Source organism: Homo sapiens, unplaced genomic scaffold (assembly GCF_000001405.40).
Source record: "Homo sapiens unplaced genomic scaffold, GRCh38.p14 Primary Assembly HSCHRUN_RANDOM_124".
NCBI lineage: Eukaryota > Metazoa > Chordata > Mammalia > Primates > Hominidae > Homo > Homo sapiens.
Genome location: NT_187420.1, coordinates 216,933 through 227,673, shown reverse-complemented (window position 1 = coordinate 227,673; position 10,741 = coordinate 216,933). Strand labels below are relative to the sequence as shown.

The 10,741-nt window shown below is 52.2% G+C and overlaps 4 pseudogenes; 2 read left to right on the top strand and 2 right to left on the bottom strand.

Moving 5' to 3' along the window:
- The window catches only part of LOC101930589 (cell division cycle protein 27 homolog), a 19,199-nt pseudogene extending 15,596 nt beyond the window's left edge, over nt 1–3,603 (bottom strand).
- Nucleotides 3,604–4,062: 459 nt separating this feature from the next.
- On the bottom strand, nt 4,063–9,663 carry LOC107987395 (translation initiation factor IF-2-like; annotated as a pseudogene).
- Nucleotides 7,346–9,214, top strand: LOC110467537 (RNA, 18S ribosomal pseudogene; annotated as a pseudogene).
- On the top strand, nt 10,273–10,424 carry LOC110467524 (RNA, 5.8S ribosomal pseudogene; annotated as a pseudogene).

Below are 10,741 nucleotides of genomic sequence, written 5' to 3'. Positions count from 1 at the left end.
TATTTTTTTTAAAGCACAATATATCTGCTTTATTTGAGTGGCTTTATATATGGTTATAATTGTGTTATAGATGAAGAAAAGGTATTAAACACGGTGCTAATGATAGTGAAAGTGAAAACAAAAGAAAGGCTATCTATTTTGTAGTTAGAATAAAGTTGCTCAGTATTTAGAGTTACCTAAATACGTCAGCATTTAAACCCCTCTTAGTAAAAGCTGGCCAATCTGAATAATCCTCCTTTAAACACAATTTTTGATATGGTTAAGGTTTTTAAGAATGCGACTCCTGCAGAATAGCTGAACAGACAATAGACTTTTAAAAAAGAACAACACACGGTTCAACCAGACTTGGGAAAAAAGCAAAAACAACACAAGTCTTAAGAAGAACTGAGTTCTTAAAGTATTACGGAGAACATAGCTATCAGAAGAGAAGGCAGTCTTGGTAAGTTGATTGTTACATTTGTCAGCAAAACTAGCACTATTTTTTTGGCAATCTTTCAGACACTGCAACTACTACTGCAAAATGAGATATAATCCATTAAACAATATAGTCACAAATCAAAAAATGTTTTAGTAATGTAATGCTTCAGATTTAGAAGCAAATCAAGTGTTAAAACTCAACTGCTATAATAATTACCCCCAAAGATAACCGTATCTGACAAAAAAGCTTCCACAGAGTTATGACTTCAGAATTATACTTTCTCTTGATATTTATTTATTAATTTATTTATTTTATTCTATTTTTTTCTTGAGATGGCGTTTTGCTCTGTCACCCAGGCTGGAGTAAAATGGCATAATCTTGGCTCACTGCAACCTCCACTTCCCAGGTTCAAGCGATTCTCCTGCCTCAGCCTCCTGAGTAGGTGGGACTACAGGTGCCTGCCACCATGCCCAGCTAATTTTTATATTTTAATAGAGACGGGGTTTCACCATGTTGGACAGGATGGTCTCAATCTCTTGACCTTGTGATCCGCCCGACTCAGCCTCCCAAAGTGCTAGGATGACAGGCATGAGCCACCTTGCCTGGCCTTCTCTTGACATTTAAACTTTTAAGTCAGTTCAGAAAAATACAATAAATGTCAACAGTAAGTATGGTGTTGAGGCAGATGTAGGACCAAACTTTTTCATATGTTATTCAGTTGATAACAATATGACCTGGATAGTAATTTCCTATGTGTCTACTTATACAGAAGTAAAAAAAGGAAAACAGAGATACTGCTAAATAAAAGGGTATACTAAGTTCTTAATAGTAACTCAATAACCTGGAACACTGTCAAAAAGCAACAACTAGTGAATTTTTTCAGTGTTTTTTTTTTCTATTATCCAATAAGTGAATTATGCTATTCCTTTCCAATTTCCCAAGCACTTTTTGTCCCAATCACCATTTCTCTGTTCGATGAAAAACTAACAAATCAAGTAACAAAACTAAACAAGCATACAAACAAACAAAACACAACTACAGTATCTGCAAAAGTTTGGTAGAAGACTGAAACTGTTGAGTATAAGGTTCTGGTATTCTATTATCATTAGTTAACTTAAGAGTTTGTTAAAGACACACATTTCATAAGAAAACATGTTAGTTTGAAGTTATTGACCAGTATGTACCATCCCTAAATATTAGTAACCAAATTCATGACAATAAAAGAGCTATCTAACAAGAAAAATTAGTGACTACCAGCACCATCAACAAGACTTTGTCTTTACACTTCATTACCACTTACCGTGCATTACAATGTCTAGGATTGACTCTGATAGCATTTCAAAAACAAGCTAATGCTTTGTCCAATTCTTCAGTTAAGACAAACTCTCGCCCTAATAGAGTATAGGCATAAGCATAATTTGGATCCACTTGGATAGTTCTCTGGAAGAATTTAATTGCAATATCGTGTTCCCATTGCAGACTGAAACAGTTCCCTGCAGCACACCAGGCCTCTGGCAGATTTTTATCCACGTCTGTTAAGTCTTTTGACAGAACTGAAAGAGCACCATCTTTTTGAAGATGCCAAAATGTTGTAGAGTAGATTTCCATGCCTTCAACTCTATAATTCTCAATCCTTCTAACCTCTGAGAATATTCTTTCAGCTTGCTTGTACTCTGAAAGTTCAAAATAGACCCTTCCAATTTTGCACAGTACCCAACCAGTATTATAGTGGTGAGAAGGTAGATGGCTCAAAATATTTATAGCTTCTTTGCAGTGGTATGAGCAGAAAGCTAAATAACTTTCCCCCTTTCACGAAGAAGACTCATCAAGCCTTCTGCTGCTGTTTTTTATGATTAAAAGCCTGAATCTGAGGTGTGATTGTGGATATTTTCTCTTCTGAAATGATGAAAGAGTCCAATTTTGTAATTTCCAGGCTATCATCTATGTTAGGTTGAGTTATTCCTCCTTTATTAGTTTTACTTTTTGTTTTTCTGTTTGGGATTTTAGGTGGAAACTTCTTTTTTAATTTCTTCCTATTCTCCTTTGTTGTGGAACTGTCACTAGTAAAGAGTCATGAATTTCTTCGAGGCAGTACATTTAGGGGATATGTCATAGTGGGGCTCAATACCTGAGGTGTTGTACTTATTTATGGACCAGAACTTTCTGTTTGTGCAAGAATTGGAGTTACCTCTCTTCTACTTCCACTCTGTGAGAAGACAGACTTTGCTCCAGTTTGGCCGATTCTGGCAACAGACTTTTTTGAAGGGGCTCTGGTGGATGGCACGTTAATTTCAGAAGGTGTATTAGTGTAGTTTTGTAAATAGGATCCATCTCCAGGACTTGGGGTTTCTAATGGCAAAATCCCAAAACTTGGGGTTAATGGACTAAGAGCTCCTGGTCCTCCTAATAAACTTCGACCAGTTTTTGGTTTATTTTGAACCTGTTTAGATAATATGGAAGTTCCTGTTCCCAGTGGGACAGTATCAGGTGAAATTACGCTGAATCAGTAGAAGACACTGAGTAATCTGTATTCAAGGAATACTTTGAATTTGAAGATTCTAAATTCAATCTGTCTAATTCAGTTGTTTCCGTAAGAAAGGTCTCAGGCTGTCTGTGACATAAACTATGACTAGGTACTTGTGTTGTGCAAGAGTTGGGCAGACAGTTGCTAAAGTTCTGAAAAGACGTGAATTTAAATGTTTGGTCAGGATCTGGCTTTTCACCTATTTCACATAATGATTCAAAGGGATACCAGAGGAAAGGCTTTAAACTAAGCCACTTTTGGTCACATTCTGATCCTTTGGCAAGCCGATCAGTCTTGCAATATACATGTCCCAACAATGGAAGGGGAAAGCAAGCTGAATCACCAAACTCAGTAACAATATCATCATGGCTTTTCTACTTATTAAACACTCCACCGGATAAGATTTGTTCCCCTTCTGCAAACTTGCTGAGATCAACACAACATTTTGCAAGCAGGTATTTGCATTGCGGTGTAGGACAACTGTGTCCTTTCAAGAGTCTATATGCTTTGTAGGCCTTTCCTGGGCGGTAAGAACAAGTCGCCAGTAAAACATGGCTTCTTCTGAGTGTACTTCTGCATAAAGGTGTTCTGCGAGGAAAACCCCATCTCAGTAAGCATAGTGGTTTAGTGCTTGCCATATAGCAGCCTGGACGGGTTCCTGCAGCACCGTCATCCTTGAGGCTCAGACCCACTTTCTGCAGTGTCTCAGGCACCCCCCCACCCTGCCCACCCCCCTCCCCCCCCCCGTAGGAGCTCCGGCCCAGCCAGCCTTGGCTCATTTAAACTCACCAGTTACCAGGGGATGGGGGAGGCCGAGCCAGAATGACTTCTTTACCCTGCAGACTTGGAAAGCCTGTCCCCTTGTTATCCATTGCAAAGCGAGAGTCACCTCATGTTTGGAAAACGGATTTGCTCCCAAGTTCTGTGGAGGAATGTGGCATGTAGGACGAAGGACTCTCTTCCTTCTGATTCAGTCTACACAGTGGGGCCTAGGGCTGGAGCTCTCTCCATGCGGACCACAGACTCCCTCTACCTTGGGTTCCATCGACCCCACCCTGGGACACAGGCCTTGGCAGATTCTGGCCCTTCCTGGCCCTTAAGTCGCGTCAGAAACCCCATCTCATGCTCGGATGCCCCGAATGACTGCGGCTCACGCCTCTCTGGAAACATTGGAAATCACCTGAAACCACAGGAGCTCGGGACACACGGCCGCCATCCACCTCACTGCTTTCGGGAGAGAATGCTGAGAGTCTTTTACCAACTCTCTCTTGACTTGAGTTCTTCATGGGTGTGTGGTTAACACGTAGTGAGACCAGATGTATTAACTCAGGCCGGGTGATGGTGGCTCACGCCTGTAACCCCAACACTTTGGGAGGCCGAGGCCGTAGGATCCCTTGAGGAATCGCCTAACCCTGGGGAGTTTGAGGCTGCAATGAGTGAGCCATAATGGTGTCAGTGCACTCCAGTCTGGGCGAAAGACAGAGTGAGGCCCTGTCACAGGCAGGCAGGCAGGCAGGCAGGCAGGCAGACAGACAACAGTTGTATTATGTTCTTCTCAGGGTAGGAAGTAAAAATAACAGAATACAGGGCTTAATTTTTTTTTTTGGACGGAGTTTCACTCTTGTTGCCCATGCTGGAGTGCAATGGCACCATCTCGGCTCGCCGCAACCTCCACCTCCCGTATTCAAGCGATTCTCCTGCCTCAGCCTCCTGAGTAGCTGGGATTACAGGCATGTGTCACCACACCCGGCTGATTTTGTATTGTTAGTAGAGATGGCATTTCTCTATGTGGGTCAGGTGGGTCTCGAACTGGCCACCTCAGGTGATCTGCCCACCTTGGCCTCCCAAAGTGCTGGGATGACAGGCGTGAGCAATTGCGCCCGGCCAGCTACGTTTTTTTTTAAATTTTCTATTTCCATCTATTTATTATTATTATTATTTTTTGAGACGGACTCTCGCTCTGTTGCCCAGACTGGAGTGCAGTGGCGTGATGGCTCACTGCAAGCTCTGCCTCCGGGGTTCACGCCATTCTCCTGTCTCAGCCTCCCAAATAGCTGGGACTATAGGCACCCATCAGTGTCTGGCTAATTTTTTGTATTTTGAGTAGAGATGGGGTTTCACTGTGGTAGCCAGGATGGTCTCGATCTTCTGACCCCCGTGATCTGCCCGCCTCGGCCTCCCAAAGTGCTGGGATTACTGGCGTGAGCCACCGCACCCGGCCTATTTATCTATTTATTAATTTTGAGTCCAGGTTATGAAACCAGTTAGTTTTTGTATTTTTTTAGAGACGAGGTTTCACCATGTTGCCAAAGCTTGGATCGAGGGATCCACCTTCCCTCACCTCCCAAAGTGCAGGGATGACAGGCGTGAGCGTACCACGCCCGGCTCTCCCCCTTCCCCCGCCATCTTATCATTCAGGTGCCGGAGGCCGAGCGGTGGTGTGTGGTTCCCACCCCCAGCTCCCCCTCCTCCATTCACCACAGCGATGTCCGAGAGTGGGTCCTGAGGGAGCTCATTGGTGTGGGGGTCGAGGGGGTTGAGTGAGATGCGCCCCTCCCACACAGGGAAGGGCGCCGCCTGGTCTGGCAAGTGCAGGTCCCGTGCTCCCCTCTGGCGTGTGCGCGTGGGCCGTGTGAGCGAGCGCGGTGGGCTCGGGCAGGTGACGCATGCGCCGGCCGGCCACCGAGGGGCTACCGTTCTGCCTCCAACAGGTTGTGTGTGGGTTTACTTGGAGGCGCTTTGCCTGGGAGAAAGGAGGCGGGTGGACGGGGGGGCACTTGGGGGATTGCACCCACGTACAGTGGCCAGGCCCCCCGCCCAGACCGCGAAGGCTCAAAGTTGCCGCACGCAGATTTTTCCTGGTACCGCCGGCCCCCTCACTTCCCCAGGCGTCCCTGACTGCCTCTGCGGGCCCGATGAGGGGCGATTGGCGGGTGGGGAGTGTGACCCACCCTCGGTGAGAAAGCCTTCTTTAGCGATCCGACAGGTGTGCCTTTGGAGTACCGGATTCCCCTGCCTGCCGCCTCTCTCTGCGTTATGGTAGCGCTGCCGTAGTCACTCGCTTGCAGGGGACCCTCCTCCACTTCCCCCTCGACGGGGTGACATGGGGAGAGCGAGGGTTCCCCTGGCCTCAGCGGTGGGGATGGAGGGCAGCTCGTCGCCTACTGTGTGGCCCGCGCCTCCCCCTTCCTAGTCGGGGGAGGATCCCGCCAGGCCGAGCCTGCGTCCTAGCGTTTGGGAGGCTTCGCGAGCAGTGGCTGTGCCCAGCGTTCTGTCCGGCTCGTGACCCGCTCCCCTGAGGAGCAGCGACCGGTGCCGACGACCGCGTTTGCATGGCAGGGCATTGGGCCTCCTGGCCATGGGAAGTGTCCCAAGTGGGGGGCACGCTGGTCTCCCAGAGCTTGAACGGGTGGGAGGATGGACGAGAAATGCGCAACGTGGCCCTGGCATTGGGTTTGTGGCTGCAGTCGCTTCTGGGTCCCGATGGCAGGACCCGGGCTCGTGAGGCGGGTCTCGGTGGGTGCCAAGGGCCGTCCGGCGTCCTAGGCGGGGCGCCACGGGACCTCCCTAGTGTCTGTGGCAGTGGGATCCCATGGCCGTGTTTTCCTGGTGGCCCGGACGTGCCTGAGGTTTCTGCCCGAGCCGCCCCTCTGCGGGCTCCCGGGTGCCCTTGCCCTCGGGGTCCCTGGCCTTGCCTGTCTGTGCCCCCCTCCCCACCCGCGGATCCTCTCTCCCCGAGCGGCTCGCTGGCTTAGGCTGTGGTGGCCCCGTCTGGGACCAAACCCTGCTCCGCCTTGTGTGGCACCACCGCCGGCCACTGGTTGGCCCGTTGTCCGTGTCCCTGGGCACGCGCCTTCGGGACCAGGTCGGCGGTGCCCCGCATGGGCCTGGTGGGCGCCCGGAGGGTTTGGGGTCGGCCTGCAGCGCGTGCAGGGAAGAGGATTCCGGGCGCTGGCTGCGATGGCGGCGGCGATGTGGGAGCCGCGGGCCCGCCGAAGGCCAGTCGGCCGCTCCAGGTGCCGCTCGGTGCCGCCTTGGTGCTTGGAGGCCGCTGGCGTTGAGACCCCGGGCACCGCGGTCCACCTCTCGTTTGCTGCCCAAACGTCGGGGCTGCCCCACACCTGCCATGCGCGAGTGGCCGCCTGTCCCTCGCGGCTGCCGCTCACGGGTCGGGCGGTCTGCCTCCTCGCACGTGGGCGCGAAGGGTCGGGAGTGGTGAGCCCATCGTGGGGTGATGTGTACTGTGGGTGTATGGGATTTCTGGTTCGCCGCTCCACCACCCCCCTCCCACCGCACTGAGCTGCTCCATCCCTCCCACACGCCTGGTCGCCCACCCTGCCACCCCATCCTCGTGACTGGGACTCCGGGCTCATCCTTGCGAGGCCCGGAGGCCGCTTTCTACTTATGTGGTTGATCCTACCAGTACCATATGCTTGTCTCAAAGATTAAGCCATACATGTCTAAGTACGCAGGGCTGGTACAGTGAAATTGCGAATGGCTCATTAAATCAGTTACGGTTCTTTTGGTCGCTTTCTCCTCTCCTACTTGCAAAACTGTGGTAATTATAGAGCTAATACATGCCGAAGGGCACTGATCCCCTTCGCGGGGAAGATGCGTGCATTTATCAGATCAAAACCAACCCGGTCAGCCCCTCTTCAGCCCAGGCCGGGGGAGGGGTTCGGGTGCCACTGGCTTTGGTGACTCTAGATAGCCTCGGGCTAATCGCATGCCCCCCGTGGCAGGGACGACCCATTCGAACGTCTGCCCTATCAACTTTCAATGGTAGTTGCTGTGCCTACCATGGTGACCATGGGAGATGGGGAATCAGAGTTCGATTCTGGAGAGGGAGCCTGAGAAATGGCTACCACATTCAAGGAAGGCAGCAGGCATGCAAATTACCTACTTCCGACCCGAAGAGGTAGTGACGAAAAATAACAATACAGGACTCTTTTGAGGTCCTGTAATTGGAATGAGTCCACTTTAAATCCTTTAATGAGGATCCATTGGAGGGCAAATCTAGTGCCAGCAGCCACGGTAATTCCAGCTCCAATAGCGTATATTAAAGTTGCTGCAGTTAAAAAGCTCGTAGTTGGATCTTGGGAATGGGCGGGCGGTCCGCTACGAGGCGAGCCACCGCCCATCCCCACCCCTTGCCTCTTGGCGCCCCCTTGATGCTCTTAGCTGAGTGTCCTGCAGCCCGAAGCGTTTACTTTGAAAAAATTAGAGTGTTCAAAGCAGGTCCGAGCCACCTGGATACCTCAGCTAGGAATAATGGAATAGGACCGCGGTTCTATTTTGTTGGTTTTCGGAACTGAGACCATGATTAAGAGGGAAAGGTGGGGGCATTCGTATTGCGCTGCTAGAGGTGAAATTCTTGGACCGGCGCAGTTCGGACCAGAGTGAAAGCATTTGCCAAGAATGTTTTCATTAATCAAGAACGAAAGTCAGAGGTTCGAAGACGATCAGATACAGTCGTAGTTCCGACCATAAACGATGCCAACTGGCGATGTGGCGGCGTTATTCCCATGACCCGCTGGGCAGCTTCCAAGAAACTAAAGTCTTTGGGTTTTTAGGTTCCGGGGGGAGTATGGTTGCAAAGCTGAAACTTAAAGGAATTGGTGGAAGGGACCAGCAGGAGTGGCGCCTATGGCTTAATTTGACTCAACATGGGAAAAATCACCCGGCCAGACATGGACAGGATTGACAGATTGATAGCTCTTTCTCTGTTCCATGGGTGGTGGTGCATGGCCTTAGTTGGTGGAGTGATTTGTCTGGTTAATTCCGATAACCAACGAGACTCTGGCATGCTAACTTATTACGCGACCTCTGAGCGGTCGGCGTCCCCCAACTTCTTAGAGGGACAAGTGGCGTTCAGCCACCGGAAATTGAGCAATAACAGGTCTGTGATGCCCTTAGATGTACGGGGCTGCACATGCGCTACACTGACTGGCTCAGCGTGTGCCTACCCTATGTGGCAGAGGCGGGTAACCTGTTGAACCCCATTCGTGATGGGGATGGGGGATTGCAATTATTCCCCATGAAGGAGGAATTTCCAGTAAGTGTGGGTCATAAGCTTACCTGAAGTCCCTGCCCTATGTACACACTGCCCGTCGCTACTACTGATAGGATGGTTTAGTGAGGCCCTCGGATGGGCCCCGCCAGGTCAGCCCACTACCCTGGCAGAGCGCTGAGAAGACAGGTGAACTTGACTATCTAGAGGAAGTAAAAGTCCTAACAAAGTTTCGGTAGGTGAACCTGCTGAGGGATCATTAACCGAGAAGAGCGAAGCCGCGGGGGTGAAGCCGCGGCAGTGCCGCCGCATCCTTCCTCCTTGGCAGACCATGTTCCTCGTGTGGCGCGTGTGTGGGCGGGGTCGTGCCCTTTGTTTGTTGCACGGCCCCGCCTGCCCTGAGAGCCGGAGAACTCGGGAGGGAGAAGGGGGAGAGAGAGACACGCGTGCAGGGACGAAACCATGTGTGCATATCATGGGGCGGGCTGGATGCCTTGCTGGCCTGGTGAGCAGCGGGGAGCGGCCCCCTGCCGTGGCCCCCACGTGTGTGTCGGCGGGTGAGGGAATGGTTCTCGGCGTCCTGGTGGGGTGGGGGTCTCGGTGTCCTCCCCGCCAGAGCTGTCGTCCCGCCCTGTCCCGCTGGCTCGGCCCCATCCCGCCGGCTCCCATTGGGGCCGGCCGGGTTCCCATCGCTGCTGTGGCTGCCACCATCCTCGCCTCTGCCACACCATGCCACTGGGCCCGGCCTGGCCTGCTCACTCTCCCCAGCCTTCCCGCTAGGGCGTCTCGAGGGTAGGGGGCTGGACACCTGTCCCCACCTCCTCGTTCGCCACCACCGTCCAGGTTCCTAGCGTGTTCTGGCGGGGAGGTTTATGGACCCCTTGGGGTGTCGCCCGTCTTCCCGTGGGTTGGGTGCGGTGGGTCTGCGGGGGAGTCTGTTCGGGAGGGGCCCGCCCCTCTCTCGCCTCCCCCACCGACTCTGTCCCCTCAGCCAGCCGGGGCCGCGCCGCACTTGCGTGTCACCGCTGACACCAGTGGGGGCTTTACCGGCGGCCGTCGTGCCATCGCACGTGTGCCGCGCATGTGGCCTGTGCCTTGCGCTGTGGGGGTGGGAATCCCTGGGTGCCCGTGGGGTGCTGTCAACGTTCGCCCCCTCATGGTCGGCACTGCCTCCCTGTGTTGTGAAACCTTCCGACCCCTCTCTGGAGTCTGGTCCCATTGCTGTCTGAATGGACAGCCTGAGGTAAACCCTCTGGGGCACCTGTTGTGCCAGTAGGGCCTCCGGGTGTTGGGAGCACCCTTGCCAAATCCACCTTGTATGACTTTTAGCGGTGGATCACTGGCCTTCTGCGTTGATGAAGAACACAGCTAGCTGTGAGAACTAATGTGAATTGCAGGATACATTGATCATCGACACTTCGAACGCACTTGCGGCCCGGATTCCTCCCAGGGCTATGCCTGTCTAAGCGTCGCTTGTGGATCAATAGTCCCCGGGGGTGCCTCCGGGCTCCTTGAGGTTCACGGCTGGGAGTTCCCTTGCATGGCCTGCCGGGGCCCTCTGTCCCCCCAAGTGCAGACCAGTGACGTCCGCCCTCCTCTACCACCATGCCCGCCCCTTCTCCCTCCCCCCACAGGCCCTGTGTGGTCACGCATTGAATGGCATGGGGAAGGGGGGCTCCCAGCTGTGAGGAAGAGAGAGAGGGCGGCGTTGCCACCCGCAAAAACAGGAGGGAAGAGAGCCGGCTGGGGCCGAGTTCCCGTGGCCACCACCGCAGTCCGGGTTCCTCCC